Source organism: Homo sapiens, chromosome 1 (assembly GCF_000001405.40).
Source record: "Homo sapiens chromosome 1, GRCh38.p14 Primary Assembly".
Lineage (NCBI taxonomy): Eukaryota > Metazoa > Chordata > Mammalia > Primates > Hominidae > Homo > Homo sapiens.
The window spans coordinates 233,238,727-233,252,047 of record NC_000001.11 but is presented as its reverse complement, the minus strand read 5'-3'; the positions used below and the strand labels follow the sequence as shown (position 1 = coordinate 233,252,047).

At 40.8% G+C, this 13,321-nt stretch overlaps 1 protein-coding gene across 7 annotated transcripts in view, besides 1 other annotated feature; it reads left to right on the top strand.

Moving 5' to 3' along the window:
- The window catches only part of PCNX2 (pecanex 2), a 343,895-nt gene that overhangs the window by 75,282 nt on the left and 255,292 nt on the right, over nucleotides 1-13,321 (top strand). For 6 of the 7 annotated variants that reach the window (XR_001737430.2, XM_047430870.1, NM_014801.4 and 3 more), the window contains one exon: nucleotides 1,216-1,309. Coding sequence is in view for 5 of the 7 variants with exons in the window: in XM_047430870.1 (XP_047286826.1) it covers nucleotides 1,216-1,309 (94 nt within the window). In the remaining 2 variants the exon portion in view is untranslated. Of the gene's footprint in view, nucleotides 1-1,215; nucleotides 1,310-5,553; nucleotides 5,622-13,321 lie in introns of those variants that run through there. The other variant, XM_011544278.3, reaches the window with a different exon arrangement.
- Nucleotides 8,831-9,125: a silencer, noted in NCBI's record as "tiled region #15021; K562 Repressive non-DNase unmatched - State 22:ReprW". NCBI's record gives its function as "represses a minimal TATA promoter and a strong SV40 promoter by Sharpr-MPRA in K562 cells {active_cell/tissue: K562}" and the evidence as "EXISTENCE:reporter gene assay evidence [ECO:0000049][PMID:27701403]".

Below are 13,321 nucleotides of genomic sequence, written 5' to 3'. Positions count from 1 at the left end.
TCATCTCTTTCGTTCTTTGATAATATTACAGCTTGTATAATAATTTGATTAATGGCATTTCCCCCTCACAGTTATCAACTTCAAGAGGGCAATGCCCAGTACTTACTAAATATTTGTTGGACCTGTGTTGCACACCTGACCTTGATATATTTTTTCAGCACCTTGTTATAAAAAGGATTTAAAATAGTATACATAGAGAATTATAAAGTGGCAAGTTCAAAGTTCAACGGATAAGGGATATAGGTCCTAGTTTTTCTGGGATGGGTCTTGGCTTATGTATCATATAGCTCCAGTAGTGCTCGTTATTTTACTCGCAAAAGGATCCTGGTTTGGAGAATAAATTATATGGTTACTTTATCTGGAGTTCAGTAGTTTATAGTTTTAAATGCTTTTGCATGTGCAGAAATATAAGGGACTTTTACATCATAAAGAACAACATTAGCACTTACATGAAAGCCTCCACAGGGGCTGCGGTTGTCATTACAGTTTCTCTTGGTGGAAAACACCTTTGAGTTGGAGGGCCACCTTCCAGCTGCTCACAACAGACAAGGTTAATTATGCTTCCTGTGTCAACTGAAGAAGGCACTAGTAGGAGCTCTTCTGGGCAGAAACCGGATTTTCACACCTCAGTATCCTGAACTGCTTTAGTGGAGCTAATTGAGCTCTGCAAATTAATTCCATCTCTTGCTTTTCCTCATTAACAGACTGACACATCAGTCAGTGTGCTGTGACACTTGCTCATCTGCACAGTTGGAGGCAGAGATGGTCTCATGCGGTCCACCAATCAAAACTGTACTCTTAATAAGCTGCTTTTTGCACATGATACTGAGGTATTCGTATACCAAAAAATCTGGTTATATCCTAGCACAGATCATGCTGACACATGAAGAGAACGTATGTAAAGTGAATTAAGAGATGATACAAATAAGTCTATCAAAAGCAATTAAATAATAAGTAACCAAGTCAAAACTTGTCTAAGTATATTAGCAGGGAAGCAGGTCGAAGAAAATTTTCTTAGTAAAGTTTCTTTCAGACATCCTTCAACTTCTCATGATATATGTTCTGTGCAGAAATATAAAGAATGGACCCCGATTGTCAACAGTTATTATAACAGACCAAAATAAGTTTCCTTTTAACTTGAAAATTGTATAAGTTGAAACGATTCTATATGAATAATTATGTCATATTCTTTGCTGAAATTTTCTGATTTTACAGGGGAAATTAGATCCTGTTATTTAAAATCTGGAAATCAGAAAGAAGGCCCTTTACAGCCTCTACCATCAAATAATGACTGTCTCTCTCAGGCTCGGTGAGTGGAGCTTTGTTTCCAGGCTTGAGAGCTGTTGCATTGCTGGGAGACACAGCGATGAAGATAAAGTGAGGATTCTGGTTTAGAAGAAATGTGTTAATCCCTTTGTAGTTGTTAAGGCATGTGGTTTTGTATGAAAGAAAAAGGAAATCTGACATTGTGAAATAATGAAAAATAAATGAAACCATTTTCATTGTTGCTGCTTCCAAAAATGAAGATAACATGTAGGTAGTATAAATAGACAGGAACTCTGTATAAACATAATAATGTTCTCTTCAAGAAAGATGGTGATACAGCTCTCAAACACATTATTAAATTTGTCCCAAGGAGTGGACTAGAAATGTGGTTAGTTCTCATTTATTCTCATTTACAGTAATAAAGGCAAACTGTTTTACAGATAGATACACATCTTTTCTATTTTACTTCAGAATGCTTTGAATAACTTTCTTAATTATGCTGATATTAATTAGTTGATGAAGTTGATATTAAATTAGTTTGCATATCTGGGACATACGATGATTAATAGTGCGTTGGGAAAACTGTACGTCTTGTCAGTGGCAGACGGAATTCATCCTTCATCCTGGGCTTCAAGATTCTTTGTGGATAATCCATATGGCCATGTCTCAGTTGGTTGCTCTAAGTGTGGAAGTAAATTGTTCATGTATGCTTCTTTAGAATTATATGTATATTTGAGGATTTATGGGAGACTTTCCCGGTGTAACTGGAATGTCTTGTGCTTCACATCTAAACCTTAATTTCAGAGTCTGTGACCCCATGTGTCTTTCCAAGTTTAAAGTGTTCCCAAGGGTTTATGGGAAATTCAGGGGGAGGGGTCCTGTGTGCTTAGAGTAAAGGCTGTCTTTGTCCTTGCATTCTGGCCTCCAGGTGGAATGCTGTCGTGTACCAGCTTCTTAGGGCATTCTCTCTTTAAAGCCACTACTGTTTCTTACCTGCTTAGGAATGCTAGTGCCATTCAGGTAGGTCTGATGGGAACCGTAGGTGATGGCTCTCTCCCGCCATGCAGTCCTTCCCAAGCTTTGCATTAAAGCAGACTGCATGTGCCCAAAGTCACTCCTGTGGGGAAACAGAAATCTTGTTCATGCCCCACTTGCCGTCCACTCTTCCTCCTTTTCCCTCAGGTACCATGGACCAATCCAAACATCACAAACTTCTTCTTCTCCAGCCAACAGGCATGCAAAGTCCCCATGCAAATGGACACCCAAGAGGAGAGGGAGGTTTGCTGTCCACATCTTTACTCTAACCTCCAGGACATTCTAGACGTTATGATGGTTTGATGAGTTTAGTCATCTAAGATGGCAGCTTTCTCAGACAAAATATGTAATTGCATGAGAACGCAGCTTTGAAAACTGTCATATTATTCTGCAATTCCCAGCTAAAAGTTGAAGTTTTTCTAAGCTGAATTTAGAACAAATTCTTCTTTTATCCCAAAGTAAAGTTACAAGATTTTTGTTTTTAATTTTTTCCCCCCAGGATAAATATATGTCATTTTTCCCCTAGGTTAAACACTTGAACTGCATTTGTCAGTAATGGTAGTTAGAATAAGGCCATATATGCAGAGCCTTAAAGAACTGAAAATTTATAGTATCCAAGTAAAAATGAGAGAGAGGACCTATAGTGTTTTCATTAAGCCTCAGTTCCTTAGGCTCTGCCTCTTCTAGCATGACCTGTTAACTTGCTTTCTCCCCGTAAATTTCTCTCTATTAAACTTCCTCCAGCTTCTGCTTTCTTTCATTTCCTCTGCATTTCCTTTCCAGATTACAGCTCTTTTATATTTAACCTGCCTTCCATTTCCACAGCTGCCTGGACATAGGTTTGCCACAGTGCATTCAGCCTTGGTGAAACGGCTTTTGGTGAGGTTGTGTTGGGGTGCTGCGCGGGTGATGGACTGAGAGGCAACTGAATGTGTTGATGCTGAACTTTCTTGTGAGGCGTGTGGCTTGGTGGAGAGTCTCAGAATACCAGGCCCTTTCTTACGTGCCTTTTCAAGTCCACAGAATAGTCAGACCCCTTTCTATTACAGAGGAAGGAAACCCATCTCAAACAGGTTTAAGCAAAGTGGGGATTTTGCGGTGATGTAACTGAACAGTCTTGGGTCCATCTGTCTTCAGGAGTGTCTAGATAAAGAGGTTCAGATTGAGTCATTGGGGCCTAGTTTTGCCATTTCCATCGCTCTCCTGCTCCTCTGTTTTGACACCGTTCTCAAACACCTCACCCCGGCGGTCAAAAGACGGCTGTCGTTACCCTAGATCTCGTGTCTTCTCTCATCTAAGTCCAGCAAGAACAGTATGCTTCTTTCTCATAGATCCCATGGAAGGTCTCATTGTGTCTGATTGGTTCTGACTGAGCCATATTACCTGAGCCCAATCACTAAGACCAGGCAAGCACTTGGCCTGGGCTTACGTACACACACACAGCTGGATTCGAGGTTCCCCCGAGACTGGAAGGGGCTGGCTCTCCGAGGGATGTTTGGAGTTCTGTAGATAAAAGCCGGGCAGCAAAAATCAACAGGTGACCCCGAGGACTCTGTTTCTGGTGAAAAGGCAACTGAATTAATTACTGAGCTCCTGTAAAGAGAAAAATGTTCAAGTTTTTTGCAAGCAACTTTCCCCTTGAAGAAAATCTTTATTGAATGGCCCTAGTCACCCCTAGCTTTTCTCATGTGTGAATGCTCCAATGGGCAAGGTCTTGGTCCACCAGTCTCAGATAGCAACTTCTGGGTCTTTGACTATCTGCTCTTTCTCCAGCATTATTTGACAGGGTGTTGGTCTTAAGAGTTCTAGAAAAGGGCTGGGCATGGTGGCTCACACCTGCAATCTCAGCACTTTTTTTTTTTTTTTTTTGAGACGGAGTTTTGCTCTTTCACCTAGGCTGGAGTACAGTGATGCAATCTTGGCTCACTGCAACCTCTGCCTTCCAGGTTCAAGTGATTCTCCTGCCTCAACCTTCCCAGTAGCTGGGATTACAGGTGCCCGCCCCCACGCCTGGCTAATTTTTGTATTTTTAGTAGAGACAGGGTTTCACCATGTTGGCCAGGCTGGTCTCAAAACTCCTGACCTCGTGATCCGCCAGCCTTGGCCTCCCAAAGTGTTGGGATTACAGGCGTGAGCCACCACACCTGGCAATCTCAGCACTTTTGAAGGCTGAGGTGGGAAGATCACTTGAGTCTCGGGGTTTGAGACCAGCCTGGGCAACATGGCAAGACTCCATCTCTACAAAAAACAAAACAAAACATAGCAAAAACACCAAAAAACAAGAAGAGTTCTAGAAAAGAAAGACACATTGCCATGTGTAACTTCTCTTTCTTGTGCTTCAAAGATAAAGTGAAATAATACACATGGTTTGCTATCATATGTATAGTTAGTCCTTAAGATAGAAAATAGAGGGGACTTTGTTATGTGGTGTTGTGGCATTCAGCAGCCCATTTGGTCACAGGACATATACAGTGCTTCCTGTCAGATGCATGAGCACAAAACTCCAGTCCCTTCACTTAGCAAAATTACAGCATTGAAGCTGTTCCCTAGGCAGCTCTGGAAAAGCAGTTAAGGCACTACCATCTGTTTAATTCGTGCTCAGGAAAAACGAGTCAGTCCTATGTCCGTCAGACGATCTTCTGGATTTAAACTGCTGTCTGACAGGCTTAGGGTGGATATTCCGATTGTCTCAAACATCTCCCCAGAGTCTGACACATGGAAAACTGTGCTACCCATTCATGGGGGGCTAAGTTCTTTGGATTTGTAATAAGCTTTGTCTTTTGCAGAAGCCCATGATGTAATGATGATTTGGGAATCTTTGGGTTGGCTATCTGAAAGGAAAATTCTCAGAAAGCAGAATAAGAACCAGCTATCAGGCTCAATTTAGATTTTTGAATTTCTGAATTAACATACTAGTGCATGTGTGCACTCGTGTGAGTTCATGTGCACCTGGGGGTGTCATCGCTGTATCTCTAATGGTAAAGGTAAAGAATGGAACCAGAGCAGAGCCAGTGAAATGCCAGCAGGTCAGGATTTTGCCCCATGGAAGGACCAAGTAGCTTGTACCTTACCCCTGTGTTCCCATGTGCAATATTATGGCAGTTCGTGGCCCTGAACGAGGCACTTTCCTTCAGTAGTTCGGGTAGTAACAGCCACCATTTGTTAAACACTTACACACTAAGCTAAATGTTAAATTATCTAATTTTTCTGTGCAACAAAACTAAGGCTGGTGACACTAGCTCTGTTTTACAGATAAGGAAACTAAGACTGATTGCCAAAAGTGCTCAGCTTCATGTAGATACTAAGTGGCCAGTGGACAGGTGAGTCTCCCTCCCTGCTCCCATCCCCCACCATGGCGTCACAAGCTCAGGGTTCCTCAGAGCCCAGGCAGATGTGATAAATAGGTGAAGCTGGCCCAGTGTGGAATGGTAGAGAGGAGTGGTGATGACTGCAGTAAATCAGAGGGCATTCATCCCATCTGAAGGGCATTTATCCCATCTGAAGGGCATTTATCCCATCTGAAGGGCATTCATCCCATCTGAAGGGCATTTATCCCATCTGAAGGGCATTTATCCCATCTGAAGGGCATTTATCCCATCTGAAGGGCATTCATCCCATCTGAAGGGCATTCATCCCATCTGAAGGACATTTATCCTATCTGAAGGGCTGCTGCTATGTTAGTCTACTTATGATGGCTCATAAGTCCCAGGTGATAGGATTTTCCGTTTTTTTCCACAGGGAGCTAGAAATGCATATTTGTATCTAAAAGTGTATTTTGTTTCATGTTGTTGATTTTAAGTTTCTTTTGTTTGTTTGTTTGTTTTGTTTTTTGAGATAGAGTCTCCGTCTGTCACCCAGTCTGGAGTGCAGTGGCGCGATCTGGGCTCACTGCAACCTCTGCCTCCTGGGTTCAAGTGATTCTCCTGCCTCAGCCTCCTGAATAGCTGGGATTACAGGCGCGCGCCACCACAGCCGGGCTAATTTTTTTGTATTTTTAGTAGAGACGGGGATTCAACATGTTAGCCAGGATGGTCTCAATCTCCTCACCTCGTGATCCGCCTGCCTTGGCCTCTCAAAGTGCTGGATTGCAGGCGTGAGTCACCACGCCCAGCCGATTTAAATTTTTTTTAACAACACCACAGACCACAGGTTGTGCGTGGTTGGCTGTGGCCTGTGAGCTACCTGTGGTCAGCCTCTGCCCTGCCCCCTCCAGTGGGAAAGCAGCCTCTGCCCTCCTCCCTCAGCCCTTCTTGCACACATGTGCGGCATCCAGATGCCCCTAGGTGATTCCCTGCAGGCTCCTCCAAACCACCTTGCCAAGTTCTCCACTCATTGCTCCCTTTTGAAACTCTCATCTTTGAAAGCTCAAGTTACAATCTGCCTCTGTTATGCTTCTTTTCCTTCTCAGTCCTCTCTGAAATTCATCTCTTCAAGTTGCTGCCAGGAGGATGCTGATCACAGTCTCCCTGGTATCTCATTTATTTGTAGAGGGTTCTCATCTCTTTTTCTAGATTGCATACATCTAAAACCAGCCTTTGCTTAGCCCTTTATAGGTAGGTGCTCAATAAATGTGGGATTAAATCAAATGAATCATTGGAAATGACAAAGATGGCCCAGTTGGAGTTCTGGGGTGAGGGACAGCAGGAGAAGCTAAACAGGAGGGGTGGAGTAGGGCCCTGGGGCCCATGAAACCCGGTGGAGGAGTGTGGTTTGTTCTTTATGCAGCAGGAGTGATGGGAATCTATTTGCAGAGCAAAACAACCCTGATGAATGTGGGATTATCAAAACGACCTCAACAAATAAATCCCTCATCTTTGGTGGGACGGTTGGAGGGAGAGCCAGAAGCACTAGCAGTTTGCCAGATCAATGCATTTGAACACAGAATGTGATCTTCTCCTTTTATAAGTGGGAAGGTACAGCAAAATGAAACATGTAAAATGAGCCTTTTAAAACCAATCTACATAGAAATCAGAGGTGGAGACTCAAATTAAATTTTCCAGTCCTGAGTTTTTATTATTTTTATTTTTAATTTTTTTGAGACAGGGTCTTGCTCTGTGGCCTAGGCTGGAGTGCATTGATGTGATCTCGGCTCACCACAACTTCTGCCTCCTGGGTTCAACAATTCTCCTGCCTCATCCTCTCAAGTAGCTGGGATTATAGGCATGCACCACCACACCTGGCTAATTTTTTGTATTTTTGCTAGAGACGGGGTTTTGTCATGTTGGCTAGGCTGGTCTCGAACTCGTGGCCTCAAAGTGATTTGCCCTCCTCACCTTCCCAAAGTTCTGGGATTATAGGCATGAGTCACCGCACCCAGTCCAGCCCTGTGTTTTATTAGTTCATAAGGAAACAATTTTCCCTGTCTGTATGAAAGCTAACAACAGAGGAAAATCTGACACTGAGAATTTTACTTCCTTGAAATCAGAGGTTTAGTATCTAGCTATGTGAACACAAGTTTTGTCTCGGACTTATCTGGGTTCAAATTCCAGCACTGATATTTACTTTTTGTTTGACGTTATGCAACTTGCTTAACCATCTTAAGTATCCATTTTCTAACCAAAAAATGCAGATAATACTTCTGTAATTAATTCACTGGTTTGCTTTAAAAATTAAATGTGGGCCTGGTGTGGTGGCTCATGCCTGTAATCCCAGCACTTTGGGAGGCCATGGCGGGCGGATCACAAGGTCAGGAGTTCAAGACCAGCCTGATCAACATAGTGAAACCCCGTCTCTACTAAAAATAAAAAATTAGCTGGGCATGGTGGCACATGCCTGTAGTCCCAGCTGCTTGGGAGGCTGAGGCAGGAGAATAGCTTGAACCTGGGAGGCGGAGGTTGTGGTGAGCCGAGATCACGTCACTGCACTCCAGCCAGGGCAACAGAGCAAGACTCAGTCTCAAAAAAAAATAAAAAATAAAAAATAAAGGTGATAGTACACATGCAGTGCTTAGGACAGTGCCTGCCATAGAGGGTCCTCAGTCAGTGTTAGCTGTTGTTACTGTCTTTGGATAGAAGCAGGACTTCAGGTAAACTGCACTGTGACTTGATATACCAAAAGATGTTGACTTTTGTTTCTTGATTTTTATAACAAAATATCTGATTTTATATAACAAAAGAGACTTTTGGCCAGATGGAAGCCTTTCCTCTAGTGCTTTTATGAGTTGATTTATGTGATTTTAAGGCATTCCCCTTAAATACCTGTTGTATTCCAACATCTTGGCATGTATGATAATTTTAGAGTAGGTCCTTTAATATTATGTCCTTGGCTTTTAATGCAATTAGATTTTAAGTTTTCTATTACAGTAAACAAACATAAACTTTGATTTTGAACTTGGAAGGATGCCTACTTGGGGCTGTAAGCCATTCAGCCATGGAAGATATATTGGAAAAGCAGCCTTTTCCCCATAAGGTGACTTCAGTGGCTGGGACTGTCTCCAACTGGGCCATTAAACGGCTGATTCTTATTATTGGCAAAAAAGCCATTCCTCTTAGCTATTGTTGAGCCTTGTTACCGTGTGACAGTTTTATATCCCTGACTCCCAAGTATGAATAGGGAATTGTTAGTAATGTAACTTCCATGTCTCTTTGGGGATTCCTGAAGGAAACTGGGAGAGGAAACAAATTTCTCTCCTTGGCCCCACTGTCACTGTGGGAACCAGTGCGGTTCTTGTGGACTGCTGCAGAAACATAAGCAGCATTTTCCGGTTGTACAATAGCTGTCCATAGAGCAGGTATCTTTGGTAACATTACCTAACACAGTTCTGCTTTCCCCAGAAACCAGAATGAGGAAACTACAGCTTGAATTGCAGCCTTTAGAATTGCTAGTAGGAAAAACTGCCAGAGGATAAATCCACTTGAGTATTTTATTACCCAGAACACAAGATTGATTCAGTAGTTCAGAGCCAAAATGAACTAATTTGCCCAGAAAGTTGGAATTGCTAATCTGCCTAGAAAACCAAAGTGGAAGTAGGCTATCTGCCTAGGAAGTTGGAGGTGAAGCTGCTTAGAAAGTTGAAATGTGTTTTTGAGTGCAGAGGGTTTGTTGCAGAGTGAAGTTTTATTACTACTCAGTAGATCTTGTAATTAAAGCTTGATAGTTTCTCTTTTTTGTTCAGCAAATATTTATATTTCTTTGTGTATAAATGAATCCAAGTAATATAGCAGAGCTTTCTTCTATGGACAATCTATAACCATGTTTAAGTATTAATCTGGCTTTTACGGTGTCATAAGCAATCTAATGGAAATGCATGCAAAATGCATATCATCTGCTCCCCAGTGAAATCTGATTGGAAAGACATGATATTTACATTCATTTTGAGGATCTATAACTCACAAAATAGGCATGGTAGTCTACTGAATGGAAGAGTCATTCTGTAGCAAATTTGTTTGCAGTACTTTTTTGGGGGATTTTTATATCAAGGATGGAACTTCAACTTGTTTTTATTTAAAAAATAAGAGTAGGATGGTAATATAAATATTTATCTGAATTCACTTATTCATGGCTTTTGTTTTTGAATTATCGTAGCAAAGATCTAGCAGATATTTTTAGTTTATAAATTAGGCTTATGTTTGAAAGCTGCCGTATATCTCTGAACCCACTGTGTACCATACTCCAAAGGTGGATTGAAGCCCTGTACTTAATCTTTACTACCTCCTCAGAGTTCTTACTCTTTTGTTGACATTATCAGCTTCTCTGACCCTTATCTCAACAAAACCTCTTACTTATTGGGATTAACTTTCAGGAAAGTCCTCTAAAGCCACAATGTTTAATTATCTACCTGGTTCCCAAAGAAGATAAGCAGGCAGAAAACGGCAATAAATAATCATGTCTGTTTAGACTGTGTTTTTAACTTTAGTCAGAAGAAATAATAGTGACACTCTGACTTGGAATAGCTGAACAGGAATGTGAGGCAATAAAACAAGTCAACTAGATATTCAAAATGAAGAGTAAAACATTGTGACTTCTCTCGATATTAGATATACCCAGTACCATGTGCCATTCAATTATAGTTTAGAAATTTCGTCTTTTATTACAAATATTTGAGAGATGCATATAGCTGCGTCACTCACTTAATTTGGATAGTAGAGAGATAGGTATTTGCTGCTTCAAATTTGAAAAACTTGTGTGGGTTCTTGGTGCCTTTGATCACATGGAGGTGGAAAAGATTGGCAAGAAGCAGATGATCACCTGGGTCTACCTTGGAATAGTGTCTGCCCTCCCAAATTTCCATGTCCTTTCTTTTTGGCTTTCACTTTTTACTCTTTGCTCCTTTCACTGTCATTCTTATCTTGTTTTCTTAGACGTATTAGAAAGAGATTGTACTTTCACCCAGGCATAGAGGCATAAGGACGAAAGGTTTGTGAGGTTGATTCTAGAAAGACTTTTGTTCTCTGGGGCATTTTCTCTGAAAGCCTGAGAATTGGCCCTGCCGCTCAGTGTGGTTCTGTTCCGGTGGCAACAGCCACTGCTGCCACATGATGGCAGTCAGGTCCCATGCTCCCAGCCTTGCCTCACTTCCACGGTGTTGCTGCCTTTTTCTCCGATACTCACACAAATTTTACTGTCACATAAAAGGAGAATTGAACAAGAATCCCTGTTAAAATTCAAAATAACAGGTTATGGTTTTCAGAACAGTGCTGCTTTAGTTAAACATCCTACATGTTGAACATGTTGCTGGGACTTTCATTTCTGTGTCCCTCTATGCGCCTTGTGCCCATGTCCCTGGAGGAAGCCTGAAAAACAAGGAAAGAGGCAGAAAAAGGGAGGCCCTCTCTCTGAGAGTGATAGGCTATCGTCTTTAAACTCTGGGGAAGATGAAGAATTTCAAGAAATGTTTTTCCAATATCAGTGAGACAGTGTAGAAGAAGCACATGTATTTTGACTGTCTGTTGCTTGTAGAAGCTCAGATGGTGGAAACCTGGTGAGTCCAGTATGGTGGAATATCGTCATGGTCAATTTGAGGCCCAACTCCTTCCATACAGAAGTGCACTCTTCTGGCCCAGACTAGATCCTAGCCCCAGGCCCGTCTTTATTACCTTCTAGTGGCAGCACTTTTAGAAATTTCCACCATTAATCACTATTTCTGCTATTGCTTGGAGCTCAATCTAGCTTAAATAAACTTATCTCTGCTATAGCCCTGAACCAAACTAGTTTACCAAAGATTCACCAGAGAACGGGATAATTGAGACCAGATGTGCTAAGTATCGTGTACTGTAGTTCACAGAATAGTTACTACAGGCTTGGGATATTTCCATTTCCATTATTGTTTTGGAGGAAGAGAAAATGTCTCTTGAAACTTAACGCTTTCACTTTATATGTATTAATGTGGGAAACGCTTTGGCTTTAAGTTACTAAGATACTGTCTTTTTAGATGATTATGCTGCTCACAGTCTATAACTTAAAAAAAATGAGAGAGAATAAGCAGCAAATACTTGGAGAAGAGACGCTAGCAAAGAACATAGACTTTGGAATTATTCAAAGATTGCGCTCCTGTCCACCTGTCCGTTTCAGTGATTTTTGTGGACATCATCGTCTCTTTGGTACTTGGGTGGGCAAGCTGGATTATAACTACACTATCAGGACACCAGAGAATTATATCACATAAGGGAAACGTCTCCATTTGAGCAATGCTTACTGTAAGCATGTAACCATTTCCTCCTGGCCAAATGGAGAGCCCATATACACATGACAATACAGATGACAATACAGGTTTCTGATGCAGACATATACCAGTCATTAAGCTCAGAAGAGAATCTTTCTTATATGCCCATGCCTTGTCTGGAATACTCAACCCTCATAAAAGAGGTTAATTAAGAGGGAAGTTAATATGCTGTTTGAGACTGTCTTTATAAAATAAGGAGGATTAGGTGTGATTTGAGGGCAAGATACTCTTCCCCCATGCCTGCTAACAGAGACACCTGAAATTAATATACCATTTGCATAAAAGCATAGGAGTTATGTTGCTATTTAATATAAGAAAAAGCAAAGTCAATCCTATATCAACAAAAGGAAGTAAAAAGGGCCAGGGATGGTTATGAAGTACATAATATATGAAAGGCAGTGTTCACTGCTTTACATACATAGTCTGGTTTAGTTTTCACAATGATACCTACGAGGAAAATATCTTCCTGATTTAATAGGGAGGATTTAAGGTAGGAAGACAACATGCTTATAGTCACAGATAGTGAGTAGTATACTTTAACCTAGTTCTGTTTAATTCTAGAACTGACCCAAAAGATCTTAAATAGAAAATCAACCCATAGATTTTTTAAAGGATATTTAAATGGCTTATATAGGAAAATGATGTTTATTATTATTATTATTTTACAATCTGAAATGTACTAAGAAATATGGAAAAATTAAGCTGATATGTATTGATTGACACTTCCTTTGTATCATGTTTCCTAGCAGGACACCTTAGTAGGAGGAAGACTGCTCTAAAACAGCCATTCGTTACACATTATGTCGTAGTCAATTCTTAGTTTATTTCAGTTGGCGATAGAGGGTGCTGTACACCTTCTACTTTTTTGCACAGAAGCGTACATTTCTTTTCCCACTCTTGCCTATTTATGATCATTACCTACCTTACCTACAATGTAGTTAGCTTAATCTTTTGTTTGTAGTGAAGTTCTGGCATGTGCTCCGTTTAAGATATCTCTGAATTTGTGTCAACATTGCAATTTCAGTTCTGTTGTATTTCGATGTGAAATGACAGAGTTACATTACTCAGTGGCTTCCGTACAACGCAGAAGAGTTTGAATGAACATTGTTTTTATAAATCTAACTAATCTTTTTCTCTGTTAACGACAGAGATTATGCCACTAATATAGACAAGAAGGAAAAGCATTATTTTAGGAGCAAACATTAAATAATGGAAGCACAGGATTTTTAAGTTTTCAAACTCTACGTACTTACTCTACCTGGTTCACGTCCTAAACCCTGACTTCATCATGTTATGTTTCCTAAGCGGTTCTTTATATGAAGACTTTATTGAATGTATTGAAGTTTATGTTTATTTACA